This window comes from Homo sapiens, chromosome 2 (assembly GCF_000001405.40).
Source record: "Homo sapiens chromosome 2, GRCh38.p14 Primary Assembly".
NCBI classification, from domain to species: Eukaryota; Metazoa; Chordata; class Mammalia; order Primates; family Hominidae; genus Homo; species Homo sapiens.
Window position 1 is genome coordinate 86,769,257 of NC_000002.12, and position 15,129 is coordinate 86,784,385.

The 15,129-nt window shown below is 41.4% G+C and overlaps 1 protein-coding gene across 1 annotated transcript in view, besides 1 other annotated feature; it reads left to right on the forward strand.

Annotated features, from left to right (window-relative positions):
* RMND5A (required for meiotic nuclear division 5 homolog A) overlaps nucleotides 1-8,785 on the forward strand; it is a 57,751-nt gene extending 48,966 nt beyond the window's left edge. Inside the window, exons 7-9 of the mRNA NM_022780.4 lie at nucleotides 767-869; nucleotides 2,302-2,456; nucleotides 4,092-8,785. Coding sequence (NP_073617.1) covers nucleotides 767-869; nucleotides 2,302-2,456; nucleotides 4,092-4,155 — 322 coding nt within the window. The 3' untranslated portion in view covers nucleotides 4,156-8,785. The remainder of the gene's footprint in view (nucleotides 1-766; nucleotides 870-2,301; nucleotides 2,457-4,091) is intronic.
* Nucleotides 14,937-15,036: an enhancer, noted in NCBI's record as "active region_16165". NCBI's record gives its function as "activates an Ori minimal core promoter by ATAC-STARR-seq in GM12878 lymphoblastoid cells {active_cell/tissue: GM12878}" and the evidence as "EXISTENCE:reporter gene assay evidence [ECO:0000049][PMID:35858748]".

Consider the following 15,129-nt stretch of genomic DNA (forward strand, 5'->3'; position numbering starts at 1 on the left):
CTCTAAAAACCTTATTCTCAATTCTGTACTTCTTTCCTGTGGATTGAAAATGGTGTGTAAATCAGCACCATCTGCAGACCACATTTTGAGTATCATTGTTCTAATTAGCGTATACCTTGGAGCACATTTTGTAAGAAAAATAAGTCTGGTGGTATATGGTCTGTAAGGAAGGGAATAGGAAAGGAAGTTATGTCTTGTATATTGCTGAGTGAAGAATTTTGTGCAAGAACATCTCTTTTTCCTTCAAACTCAGATGCTAAAACTACTGTATTTGGAAGAGTGTAGTAGTTCTTAATTCCTGCTCTTCATTTGAATTAATTGGTTCTCCAAAGCTGCTTTCTTTTTTAAAATGCATGTTTTAAAACTTTATTTTTCTATTTTCTGAGGAAGTAAGCTAAAGTTAAATTACCCTAGCAGATGAGTTTTTTTTTTTTAACGTTTGCGTTCTTTAACTGCATTTACCCCCATATTGGTGAGGTTTATTTAGAAAATTTAGAGTTTTATTTTTTGTTTTGTTTTTTAACTGGGATTGGTTTTCAGTAACTTCAGGAAATATACCAGTGGGCCTGGGGAAGAAGGGGAGGGAAAACAAGTTATTTCTCTTCTAGTGGAAATGGCTGGATTTACTTTTAGCAGAACAGAAAGCTCTCACCCTGTCCAGTGGCCAGGGTCTGCAGCACATAGAGTCTGGAGAAATTGATGTCTCCTTGGACCAAGCGGCCTGACCCCTGGCCTGGCACTGACGTTTCCTCTTCTGCTCTCCCAGTTTCTCAGCAGGTTGTGTGGCGCTGCCAGCTTTAATTAACATCAAAGCCGTGATTGAACAGAGGCAGTGTACTGGAGTTTGGAACCAGAAAGATGAATTACCTGTGAGTTCCATTTTCTATTGGCTATTTACTTTTACTGCCATTAGAAGAATATGGCATCTTTAAATGTTCATCTTACCTTTTAACCAGGAAACATTGTAGCCATTTGACAGGAGTTCTTTTATGGATATATAAAAGATTAAACAATACAAATGAAGAGCCTAGTACATTTTGGGGACCCTGGAGGAGGAGTATTATAATTTTGACTTGAAGTGCCTTTGAAAGCTGGTGAAGGGAAACATCAGAAGTGGGGAGGGCTGTACATACAGTAGCAGGCAGTGTGTTCTGCAGTGCAGTTCACAGACCACTCCTGTGATTGTTTTTCTAATATAAACGCAAATTTAATTGGTTTTACTTTTGTCTTAACTATTGCTGTCGATAAGATCACGAGTTTGTGCTGGTTACATTTGCCAATAGAATAAGTATAGAGCTCTTAAAGGTCGTAACACCTGCAGTCATCAGTGGGTCTCTAGTACTGTATTTCTACTGCTCTCATGGAAAGGACCATGGTTTTAAACATCAGCACGATCACTTGCCAACTCTAGAACTTCTCTAAGCAGTAGTGTATTCATCTCTAAGACAAGCACCAGCTTTCTCTTTATGGGGCTGCTGAAGGCTAGAGATAACATAAGCATGCTTAGAATAAGACGGGATACATGGTAGGCACTCAAATTGTGGCTGCCATGGTGCAGTTATGATGTGAAGTGGCGAAGGTCATTGTATGTATGTTTCCACCAGGTCTCTGACAGGCACTGAGGCTCTGGCCTGGAATTGTCGTTCCTGTCATGATTGTGTCACAGACCCTGAAAAGCTAACATACGCATTTGTTTTTTTGCCCGTTTTATACCACACCTGTACACGGGTTTATTTGCAGTTACCTTGTTCTTCCAGCAGGTAACCCTGTCAGTTGGTTGCCCCAGCTTCTCCTCAAAGATCTTTTCTGATTAAAGGCACAGGTGCAGTCCTGGTCCTGAGTGTGGTCAGGACACAAGTAGCACTCCTGCTCTACTGCCGCTAACTTGAACAAGTGAAAAGAACTTGAGCCTTCACTTGTTTTGTGGAGGCAGGTGCCTGGCATCTGGCAGTTTCCCATTTATGTTGTAAGCATCTCTGACATGCACTAAGAGCAGACTGAAATCTGAATTCACCTAAAGACTGTGTGTCAAGCCAGTAAAGCCATTAGAGGTGGTGATCAGGTCATTGTTTGTCAGACTTGTTTTTACACTTTGTCAGCTTTCTTGAAAATAATCTTGAAGGCTAATTTAACACTTTGAATCACTAAGACTGTCCATCTGAGTTAGAAGAGTGCTATAGAAAGTTACATTCAGGTGAATAGATCTGATCAATGTTCTTTGCTGCACAGTGTATATTACCATGTGGATGGTTTTGTGAAATATGACTTCAGCTTTTTTACTTTTTTTTTTTTTTTTAACAGATTGAAGTGGACCTTGGTAAAAAGTGCTGGTATCACTCTATATTTGCCTGCCCCATTCTTCGTCAGCAAACAACAGATAACAATCCACCCATGAAATTGGTCTGTGGTCATATTATATCAAGAGATGCCCTGAATAAAATGTTTAATGGTAGCAAGTAAGTGTCTGACTTTTAAAAAATGTTAGCAAATAAATTTTGTTTTGGAACTTGGTAGGAGGATAAGAAGTGATGAGGATTAAAAAAATGTAGCTAGATTTAGAACTAAATAAATTTCTTAACTATTCATTTGGCAAAGTTGGTGGTATCTGATTTGAGTATTTTTAATGTGTCTATGGATTTGGTGATTAGATTTATAAGCATGTCTTTAACTTAACTTTTGGGGTAGGTGATAGATTTTCCCCTTTTTTATACAAATGGTCGCATACTAAAAAATGTTCTGTACTTTGCTGTTTTCACTTAGTGATGTATTTTGGAGATCTTTTTCTGTGCTGCAGAAACAGCCCTCATTATTTTTTTGTTAAAGCTGCAGTATATTCTACTGTATAGAAATATGATTGGGTAGCCAGTTCCCTATTGATGAACATTTGTTTCTCTAAACAGTGCTAAGTGAAGGCCAGGTGTGGTGGCTTATGCCTGTAATCCCAGCACTGTGGGAGGCCGAGGCAGGCGGATCACGAGGTCAGGAGATTGAGACCATCCTGGCTAACACGGTGAAATCCCATCTCTACTAAAAATACAAAAACAAAAAATTAGCCGGGTGTGGTGGCGGACACCTGTAGTCCCAGTTACTCAGGAGGCTGAGGCAGGAGAAGGGCGTGAACCCGAGAGGCAGAGCTTGCAGGGAGCCGAGATTGTGCCACTGCACTCCAGCCTGGGCGACAGAGCAAGACTCCATCTCAAAAAACAAAAACAAAAAACAAAACAAAACAAAAAAACATAGTGCTAAGTGAATTATCTATACCTGATACATAAATTCCTAGAACTGAAATTGCTGGTTCAAAGGATATATGCATTTGTAATTTATTTTAGTTAGTGAGCTCAGCTTTTTTTTTTTTTGCGATTGAGTCTCACTCCATCATTCAGGCTGGAGTGCAGTGGTGCTGTCTCAGCTCACTGCAACCTCTGCCTCCTGGGTTCAAGCAATTTTCATGCCTCAGCTTCCTGAGTAGCTGGAATTACAGACGCACACCACCACACTTGGCTGATTTTTGTATTTTTAGTAGAGACAGGGTTTCGCCATGTCGCTCAGGCTGTTCTCAAACTCCTGAGCTCAAGCATCCACCCACCTCAGCCTCCCAGGTGTGAGCCACCTTGCCTGGCCAAAATTGTTGATCTTAGTTCAGGCTGTACTGGTTTCATGTGTCACTGTGAGGCATGTGGGCCGTTCTTGGTGTGGGCTTGTAGCTGCCATCAGATTTGCTGCCCTTGAATGGATTGTGTGACCAGTACATTTGAAATTCATTTAAAGACTGTTGCAACCTAAACCTTTGGGAAAGAGAAATTGAATTTATTTTCGAAACCCCAAAAACAATTTCCAGAAAAGTTACCTTTGTTTTGTTTAAGAAACAATTTAGGATCTGGCATGGGTGGTATGTATTTGTGACCCTTCAAATCTTGGCAGTTATATTAAGGGAAAGCATAGTTCATCCTCAAAGCAAAATACAAACAGACTTGTTTTTGTGTGTTCTTATATGTGTGTATAATTGTTAAAGATACTCTATAACTAGATAAAAATTGAATACACAGTACTGAGCCTGCTCCTTCACTCAGTGTTTTCTTCTTTGTCTTTAGATTAAAATGTCCCTACTGTCCAATGGAACAAAGTCCAGGAGATGCCAAACAGATATTTTTCTGAAGAGATAACTTTAGTTTGCAATTTGTAAGTGAAACTGAATCGTGGGTGCATTTCAGAAGAGAACGTTCCATATAATGCAGCTAACCAAGGACTCCTGTGTTTCTATAAGCTAATGCTCCAGAAACTTTGCCAACCTGTTAGTGTACACACACTGAGGGGAGTGCTCCCGGTGAATATTATCATAGGGCTTTATTATATTCTTGGTCTTCATTTCTGATCAAGTAAATACACCAGCAGTTGTCATTCAATGCAGGTTTTTGTACTTAATTATATGGTGATTTTTTTACTTTTTAAGAGCAGAAACGGAAATTGACCTCCCCGCCATGTGTTTAATATTCCTCCTGCTTTTACTTTTGTCATTTTCTTGATAATCGTAAGCCTTGAGAGTGTTTGTGAAAAAGTTTTATTTCCTGTTATGTATACATAATTAAATGAAAATTCTTCAGAAAAAGTTTGATAAATTGAATTGTGGTTATGAAACTAATTTGCATTTTTATTTGCTTAAGAAAGAAAGCTGTGATAGATTCCAGATATGCTTTTTGATGTTTTCCTCTGCTCCAGCTCCAAGAAGTCAGCACACCTGCATTTTAGCTCTGCATGCAGCCCCAGCAGGCTGCGTGTTTAAGAATTTCATTGTTTAACTGGCTGGTGTGAGAAGTCTTCCGTTAGCATAGAGTGGAAGGAGTACTATTGTTTGGTTGGGTTTTTGTTTGTTTGTTTTTTGTTTTTGCTTTTATTGCCAAGAGGTGCTTGTTTTAAAAGTATGTTTAATAAAATGAAATTCTAAAGTTAGAAGTGTTCTTAAGTTGATATTTACTCTCTTGGTCTTGGTAGCCCTATTATATCATTGCAGACACAGTGTTGTGCATGTGTGTATTGTATATGTGCACCAGCATCAAACATTGTGTATCTGGAAGGAAAGCAGCATGTTCCAGTTCTAAAATGCAGTTACCAGACCCATCACTTTAAATCCTTAAAGTTAGAAGCTAGCAAATTTTCTGTAGTGCAGAACGTTTATTGCTGTTTTTGTGTTTGAATAGTATAATGTTTGATGCCTCTCTTCTGCAAAGCGTATCATCTCATTGACTGTGAATCTGTATATTATTCTGATGGATACAGATAATGATCTTTTCTCTTGTGAGGTATCTTCATTTATGCACTGTCCAAAAATAGCCATGTGTAAGAGTCTTTCTGTATGACGAACTACATGGAAAAGACTTCTGTGGACATAATTCTGACCGAAACCCATGAAGTTACTTCAGTATAAGAAGAACGTTACACGGAAATCACCAAATATTTTGCAACTTTATTTCTTCTGACATGGAGTGAACATCAATAGGAATACTTTCAAAGAAAATGAAAACACAGAAGCAAAGAGAAATGTGGCACTTCACATTTTAAACTACAGATGGACTTGGTTTGAGGGAGGGGGAATCACAGATTTGGTGCTAAGTTAATTAGAAACTGGCAGCGTTTTACAGTAGTACACCAGCCTGGATGTTTTTTCTAAAATGTTTACCTGGGAGAGCTGGGGTTTGTTTGTGAGGAGAAAGAGTACTGTGGAAAACCTCTGCTTGAGTACCATGTGGCCAGGCCTATGTGGATGGCTACTCCGTGCTGTGCGGCTTCACCAGCGGTTGGGATTGGCCCAGCTTGGAGTGCTTGTGTGGTCCAACCTCAGTCTGGCCCCATAGCGACTTTTGCCCCATGATTCTGCTTCACTGTTGGAATCCTCTTTGAAGTTCCCCCTCTCTTTGCTAAAGCAGTGAAGGAAGAGAACAGAGACAAACTCTTTGGACTGTGAAAGAGAAGGTAGAGAATTCCAGGCAACAGTCTGACCAAGGGTGTAAACCAGTTTATTATATATATATTTTTCCTTTGAATTAAAACCTAGAGTGTTGTATTTTTCTTTCTTTCTTTTTTTTTTTTTTTTTTTTTACCCTTTTTCTCCTTAGGCCAAGTTTAGCTTATTCTTATCTTTCCACCCAAACACCTACACAACGTTTAGGCTTCCTGTAAGGTTTGAATGAGACAGATGTACTCTGAAGGCTGGTGGTAAATGTGTTTGATGACCAGACTCTTCATACAGTCGGCTTGGGCCACTTTAAAGGACAAAAGCCAGAGCTCAGCTTTATCCCTCTCCCAGTGCTGGGAGCCAAAAAACTGTTGACGGTTTTTTGTGCAGCTCAAGAAAACTTTGAAAAGAACATGCTTTAACTGAAGCATTGGACTCTGCAGCTTTCTGTGTAAGGCCCGTGTACTCCCACTGGGCAGGGTGAGGACCAAAAATCTGAAACTCTTATGAATCTGACATATTATATGGAAATTATATCTTGTGACCGTCTTCAAGTGCATGGACTTAAAATTCATGAGAGACTAAATGTGAGGGAGAGGTGGATTTAAAGAGGCCAGACCTTAACCAAAGATGCTGAGATACAGCATTCTGTCCCCCCTGCCCTAGAAACTCCATAAATGCTGTCACAACCCTATCATCGCTGATGCTTTCTGCATGTCAGCAGTCCAGGAGGATGCTTTTTGTCTCTCTTTGCCTCCACTTTACAAAAGATAATATGATAGAGGCAACGTTTATAACAGTCACATTTAATTATAATGTACATCAAAGGCAGAATTTCAGAATGGTTTCTTAAATTTCCTTGGGAACCGTTTCCACATATCAGTTATAGACAAAGGCCATGGGACTATGCTAAACCAATAAAACCTTATTAGCAAATCTTTAGATTCTGACTTAGCCAGAGCATCTGAGTGTTCAAGTACAGTTTTACAGTGGCTAAGGTTGTCTCTTGATCTTTTTTCTCCGTTGTGTGATCACAGATGCTATTTCTGTTTTATTGGTGATTATACGAGACTTCTAATACATAAATGAACGGGTATTGGTGCCTCTTTATTTTAAAAAATTTGAAGAAAAGAGCCACCTCATATTCATAGGGTGTGTATTTTTTGAGTGTGAGCATTTAATTGAAAATAAGAAAGCTATGAAGTAAATGTTAACTTCTCTGTAGCAGCTAATGCATAGAGACACTAAAACCCACACCACATTTTGTGGGAAATGAGGATCCTGATCCTCTTTTGTCCTCTCCAGGTAGTCTCGCAGGTTATGCAGCTTAAGTTCAGTCTTCTTTATGCTGCGATTGATTTCCACCTCAGTGGCTTAGCCTTTGGGACAGTGGATACTGCAACAGCCAAGAACTCTTGGTTATCCGCACAAGCTGCTGGTAGACTACATTAGCCCTCTGGTTTTCCAGCTCAACCTCTGATAAAGTGGACTGAGAGCCACGCTGCTCAGTCTGTTTCGTCAGCCGACTCAGGTTATTTTCAGGGAAGGCATGGAGGCATAGTTTGGTTAGTTTCATCACTAGGATGTATAAGGTGACGACACAAACCAAATACCTTTCTTTCATCACTTAACTATACGTACTTTATCTCTGGTAACACTAGAATGCTGTGGTCTTGAGGGAATGTTAGCAAGGAACACATAGAAGATTTGGTGTTTCATAAGCCTGTCTAGGTGTGGCAGGTTTTGTGTGGTACACTGATGTTTACCATAAGCAGGTACAAGCTTCATGAACCGTTCTTAATGAACTATAATTGAATAGATACCAAAAATAGAATGACAAATGTATTTTAATAGCAGATGAGGCAGTTTTAGGATGAATTTTCCACTGTTGATTTTACTTCAAGACATAGCAAGAGAAACAAAATTTTGTTTTCAAGACATTTCCACTGCAGTTTCAAGCTGTAGTGGGCATATGCTTCATTTACTTCCAAAGAGGCAAAAGCAGCTGGAATTGGCTTACAGCACATGCTTTGTTTCATGTTATGGGTGAGGACCTACATACACTCTTACTTTAGCAGTCACTTAACCTTCTCCAGCAAGGCAGTTGTGGGGTTCACTAGGATTTAGTGCCTGATCTTTTTTTTGGGAAGGGGCGGGAATGAATGTGTTGGGGCTGGGAGGGAAGCAGAAGAAAATGGGAGTGTGAGTGAGTGTGCATGTGTCTGAAGTTCACCATTGCCCCCACCTGCACCTAGCAAGGAACAGGTGTTTGATGTATTTTGCTCATGACTGCAGTATGCATGTATTTTTTTCCTTCTCTGTGTTTTCTAAACTTACACTAAAGGATTCATCAAATCATCTTGTTCAGATGGCTCAGGATTGTATTTATTTTGCTTACCCCGTGCTCTTGGGTTCTATAGTATTTCTATAATTATGTAACGAGAATAGTGTTGCACTGTAATCTATCATATAGAGCTATATGTATGGAAAATTTTGATCAATTTTTTAAGAAATGTATCCTGTTTGCAAAGGCACAGTAAAGTTGCATCTTATAGACTATAGGCAATAAAGCTAACAATAAACCTTATTTAACACAAACCACATCCATATCCTCTGTTCATTTGATTTTGGAAAAAGTAGCATATCCAGTAGTTTCAGGGAATTCATTTTAACTTTAAGAATTCTGATATATTTAATTTATAAATTTCGGACTGATATAATAGAGTTTTGGAAAACTATAAGAAATGCTTTGTTAATGTGTGTATTCCTATGTAAAACACATGGCTTTTCCTGTGTATATTTTTAAAAATTAAAGAAATGCACATTTAAAAAGTGTTTTGTGGAACCAGTCTGTATAAATGTGCCAGGTGACAAAGGTATGAGGGAGGGAGTAGGGAGGTGCTGACTGTGAGAAGAGAAAATTGCTGTCTGTATTTGCTAAGGGTCTGCATGTCAAGAATTTAAGAAAATATCTGTCCCCATCTTACTGTGTTTCTGTGCCACCAACAGTGAGAAGAGAAGGTGACTGAGCAGTGTCCCGAGTTGTTTTTTGTTGTTGTTTTGAGACAGACTCTCACTCTGTTGCCTGGGCTGGAGTGCAGTAGCCCAATCTCGGCTCACTGCAACCTCCACCTCCTGGGTCCAAGCGATTCTCGTGCCTCAGCCTCCCGGGTAGCTGGGATTACAGGCATGTGCCACCATGCCCAGCTAATTTTTTTTTATTTTTAGTAGACAGTGTTTCACCATGTTGGCCAGGCTGGTCTCGAACTCCTGACCCTCAAGTGATCTGCCCACCTCAGCCTCCCAAAGTGCTGGGATTACAGGCGTGAGCCACTGCACCTGGCTGAGTCCCGAGTTTCTGAGTAGGGGATTGTTTTAATGTTTCCAGGCTGCTGCCCCCTCTCGCCCCTCCTGTGCACAGCGGGGACCCTGCCCTGTGTACTGACCAGAGTGGCAGTGAGTGTATGATTGGTAAAGTGGAGCCCGGAAACAGCTCGATGTCCAGGCTGCTGGAGGGGGTAGAACTTGTGCTGTCAGCATTACCAGGGAAGACCAGAAACTGAATTGCCTTGTCCTCCATGGCAGGCCAAGGTTGTAGAGACCAAGCACTTATTTGTACTCCTTTTGTATATTTTTTAAGAGAAAGACTTAGTGTTACCTGAGATTTTAGAATGTTTCTTACCTATGGAAACCCTTGTGGTCCCATCCAGTCAGGTTGGAGCTAGTGGCCCAGGTAGTATAGAAGAGGCCTGGCAGGCCAGGCCAAGGTCTCACCACCTTTCCCTCCAGCATTTGGGCTCCTCAGGACTCAAAGTGTGGTCCATGGACCAGCAGCATCAGCATCACCTGGGAGCCTGTGAGAAATGCAGAATCTCAGGCCTCAGCTCAACCCTGCTGAACCAAAGTCTGCATGGTCATGAGAAAACGGGCTTCCCTTATAAGGAGTGTCCTGGATGCTTCCTATTTCAGGAAGTATCCTCCCTCTTAAATGTGGCAGGTCAAGATCACACGTACTGAACAGAATTTACCCTTGAGGACTAAGGGTAAATCTGTTAGTCATCAAGAAAATTTAAATTTAGTGTGCTTTGAACTCTAGTTATTTTAAAAATCAGTGTATTTCTTTAAGCATCTAGGTAATTGAGGGAGTACTGTATTTGCAGTATGGTAAAAAGCATTTTCCACCCCCTCCACCAAAATGGGGAAGGTGAGTGTCAAAGATGAAAAATAATTTTCATAATGACAAAATAAGGACTAAAAATGCATCCTTAAACAAAACAGCTTGATGCTTCTTACCCCCCAGCAGAGAAACTTGATAATAAACAATATCCCAGCAGAAAATAGGCTTTCTTAACTTTTCTTTTTCCTTCAGCACCCAGTAAGAAGCTTAATAGCATAACCCTGTGTACACAAAATTTAGAATTCTGAAATATTTTACAAAACAATATTTAGTGCTACAAATGTGTGATTTTATTTTTAATGCTCACCAAGACTGATTTGATTTTGTGACCTGCTAATGAGCCAGTTTTTACAACCTTGCATGACGGGACAATGATGCAGTGGTCCACTTACCTACCAAACTTCTTTGAAATCTGTCAATATATCTGTGATAGAAAGTACTTAAAAAAAAAAAACACTTTCCTTGTAGGGTGTTTCATACCCTTGTGTGAGCCTCCTATGCTAGCAAATGTGGCGATACATTCAATGTTAGAAGGCTTGTATAATCCAGAGCTACTAATTACTGAGCTCTCCTGTGTGCCAGGCAATGTTGCATTTACTTAGCTATACTTCCTTTCAGCTTAGAAAAGTACAAAGTGCTTCATGCTAAACATTGGCACGTAAAGTAGAATCCTTTAATAAAAAGACGTGTAGTTTAACATGTTGTAGTATGACATCTTAGCAGTCACTCATCTAACAGATTTTTTAAATTCCACTCTGCTGGGCACTGAGATGAAACAGCCTACAAACTGCTGGAAAGTACAGAAAAGTAGAGCCAAGGTCCTGTAATGAGGTTAATAACAAGAGGGTGTTGGAAGAGAAAGGAGAGCTGTAATCGTGTATTTTTAAGGCCCACTCTAGCTACAATGGGATGAAGGGTGGTTGGGGAGGGGATAAGGCTAGAGCCAGGGAGGACAGTAGGTAGTTAAGGTCAATGTATTTATTGAGTATTGGTCTCGGGTACTCTTGGAGGTCTCGGATAGACTGGCGAATGAGGCAGACTTGTTCTCTAAGTGAGAATCAAGGTCATGAAGGAAATACAGGAAGGCAATGTGCTCATCACACAGTGCTCTGAACCTCCCATTATTTAGAGAAGCAGTATGATGTTCTTGTCTCAAGTGATAGTGGGCTTCCGTGCTCTAGCGTTTTAACTGTATTCCCACTTCTTTCTATTAGCTATGTTTTCTAGAAGGATGAATTTCTAACTTCACCAGTCTCTTTATATTGCTCTCCTACACTGTGTGGGTTATGTAAAATTCTCCCAAATTCCACTTGGGGCTGGCCTTTTTACTCTATTTAAAGACATTTAGTGGCTGGGCACGGTGGCTTATGTCTGTAATCCCAGCACTTTTGGAGGCTGAGATGGGGGGATCACTTGAGGTCAGGAGTTCGAGACCAGCCTGGCCAACATGGCGAAACACTGTCTCTACTAAAAAATACAAAACTTACCTGGGCACGGTGGTGTGCAGCTGTAGTCCCAGCTACTTGGGAGACTGAGGCGGGGGAATTGCATGAACCCGGGAGGTGGAGGTTGCAGTGAGCTGAAATTGGGCTACTGCACTCCAGCCTGGGCAACAGAGCGAGACTCTGTCTCTAAATAAATAAATAATATATAAGACATTTAGCCACCGCTCAAGTGTTGGATCCATTCAAACGAAGGATTCTGGTGTGTCATTTCCTCTCTGAAGTAAAAATGTCCTCAGCATTCTTAGAAGACATGTCCTCTTAGAAGACATGTCCTCAGCATTCAAGACCAAGCTCTCCCCTTCAGAATAGATTAGAAACGCATTTTAGGTTTTCTTTCATTCTTAAGCACAAGACTGTGCTGCCTTTAGTTATTTCAGATTAGTGAGCTAATCTGCCCTAAAGACGAATTTCACAAGGAATTATTAAGTTGTCTTGAAAACTTTCAAGGGTAGCTCAGGAAATATGGGGCTGAGGGCCTCTGTCCTTCCTAGGGTGTACCGTTAGGACTAGGCTTGGTGGCAGGTGTGGAGTAGGTAGCATGGGGTTTGTATGGTGGCTTCATGACCATCAGGGTCCGAGACTCCTTTCTGCTCCGTGGCCTTAACATACGACCTCAAATTTACCCTTGTCTAATCCTAGTTGTGTTCCAGGCAGGAAGGAAGAGGAAGTGGGCGGGGAAATAGCGAACTTCCCCATTGAGATAGCCCCTCTAGGAGTCCTTCCTGGAAGCCCCACCTGGCAACTTATTCACTGTGTATGGCTGCAGGTTGTCCGGGAAACGTGGTCTTTTAGGTGGACACAATACCACCTTTTCGGATTCTAATTGTGTGGTCTTGGGCAAGTGATAGAAACTTCCTACACTTTTGCTTCCTCATCTGCAAAGTAGAATGATAGTAGTTCCTATATCATAGTTTTGATGAGACCTAAATGAGGTACTGACCTATGGTGAATGTTGAATAAACTGGTGGTTTTATTAAGTCAATAAAACATAAATGACATTTGCAGACCACAGTCAGCTAAGGGGGAACAGAAAAGGAGGAGATAGTGACTGGCACTCAGAAGTGAGATGTGTCTGAAGGGATGGAGGGGCCTTCAGTAGGTGCCGAGACGGCAAAATGGTATAGCACACTTTTTTCCTTTTCTGCCTTTCCTCAGCTGCCCAGAGGATGACAGAGCTCCCTTGTGGAATGAATGGCCATAGCCATCAACAGCAGAAGTGGGGTGGTGGCACTCGGGATTCAAGGCTGAGGGGAATTTCAAATGACACAGTGCTGTCAGGGGCTGAGTCTATCTGGGATGGAGCTTTCCTGAGATGTTGCCCTGCCGTGCACTGGGTGCTGAGATCCTGGGGTATATGTAATAACATATATACTGGTCAGAAAGGGCTACTGTTTACCTGGGGGAAGAATAGAAATGAGAAGAATCAGACTCAAGTAGCTACATTCAGAGTATAATCAGTACGACACTGGTTTGGAAAATTCAGTACAAGTTCATTTTTTCAGCATATATTTATTATTTGCTTACCATGTTCCATGAGCTGTTTTAGGCAACTGAGAAAACATGTATAAACTCATGTACTTTGAGGTAGGGACTATTATTAGTTCCATTTTATAAGTGGGGAAACTGAGGGATCAAGACATTAAGTCGCTTGCCAGAGAACACGTAGTTAACAAGTAGCAGAGCCAGGAGGTTGGTTTATTTTGTTTTTGTTTGAGACAGTCGTGCTCCATTGCGCAGGATGAAGTACAGTGGCACGGTCTTGGCTCACTGAAGCCTCAAACGTCTGGGCTCAAGAGATCCTCCTGAGTAGCTGGGACTACAGGTGTGTGCCACCATACCTGGCTAATTTTTTTGTATTTTTTGTAGAAATGGGGTTTCACCATGTTTCCCAGGCTGGTCTCGAACTCTTGGACTCAGTCGATCTGCCTGTCATGGCCTCCCGAAGTGCTGGGATTACAGACCTGAGCTGCTGTGCCTGGCGTCAGGAGGCTGGTTTAGAGCCTCTGCGTTTAACCACTATGCTACTGAGGCCTCCTTTAGTTCCCTTTGGTGGAGAAATGCTGCTCAACCCTGCTTTTAGGAGCAGCTTAAGTGGTGCTGCCTCTTAAGCACCTCTTAAGGTATTGATAAAATTGCGTACAGAGAAGTATTTGCACACAGACCCAGGGCAGGAATGGGGGCAGTTTCCGGCTGATAGAAAAGGGAGATTTCTTCCTAACCCACTTGGATAAAGATTCACAGGGAATTTTCAAAGGTAGAATGGGCTCTCTTAAAACCAGCTGAAAGCTGGAGAAGGAAAATGACAAATTTCTCTCTGGCTTGTCTCTTCCACAAATAGGATATTTTTTATTAAATGAATGAATATTAAATGAACCACACTGAGGCTGGATTCCAGCAGCTGATACCAAGTTTACAGCATAATAGAGGAGTCATTTCTATCCTTTGTGTTTTTCAGGGTCAAAAAGAGCCTGTTATGGGCATCTTCCACATAGTAAGAGGGTTTGTAGAACCAATGTCTCAGGCTAGCAAGTGGCAAATAAACATTGTTGGACCCGAGGCTGGCAGGTCTGAACTGTTGGGTGCTCCTTCTGCACGTGTAGAATGAACAAGTTGGAGGTCTGTGGTTGTCAGTGATTGCTAAGCCTGAATTCACAGCCCACCATGAGCATGCTTTAGGCCTGCATGGCTTGCAGATTTGTTTTCTATTTTCTTCCTGGTCCAGAGGGCCAACTCTAATGAATGGATGTTCCTATATTGATATTTTTAATTTCCAAATTACTGTTTACCATTTTACTTGTGGCAAGTGAAATCCTGGTTGTTTTGAGGATATTAAAAAAATCAGTAAGTATTTGGCCCTCTCTGGAGCCTCCCAAGGGTGGCCTCTCCACCGCCCACCACCACCAACTTTGAGCTCAAGGTTGAAGAGGAAATGCTGCTTTTGGCAGAAATGCCCTTTTCCTGTTTTTGCCCTGGCACAGATTCTTTGACATTCATTGGTGCTCCAGGGTCAACTTCACAAGTTTCTCCCATGAGAAGGGGAGCGACCTGTTGTGAGATGCTCATCCTTCCCAGGGAATTCAGAGATAGCCCCGAGCCCAGGCCCTGCTTCCACAGGAGGCCTCAAAACCTGGCACCTGCCTTGACTGGGTGTGCTGGGCACCTCCTGGCCCTGTCAGCTGGGCTCAGGGAGGAGCGACATGGGGAATTTGTCTCATGGGTAATTTATCAGCTTTCTCTTCTGCTTTCACACATAGGCTACTTCATTTAGAGAACAGAAAGCCACTCTTGCTTTCCATTCTCTAAAAGTATCTTGGTTTTAAAACTAACGACAGACTTCTGGAGGGCTGATTACATGGGTGTGTTTGCTTTATGATGTCATCGAGCTGTACATTTACGACTTAAGCAATTTTCAGTACGAATATTTTACCTCAACAACAAGATGACTTAGTGATTTATCATGAAAGGAGCATCGTCTCCTCTGTTACCAAGAAAGAACA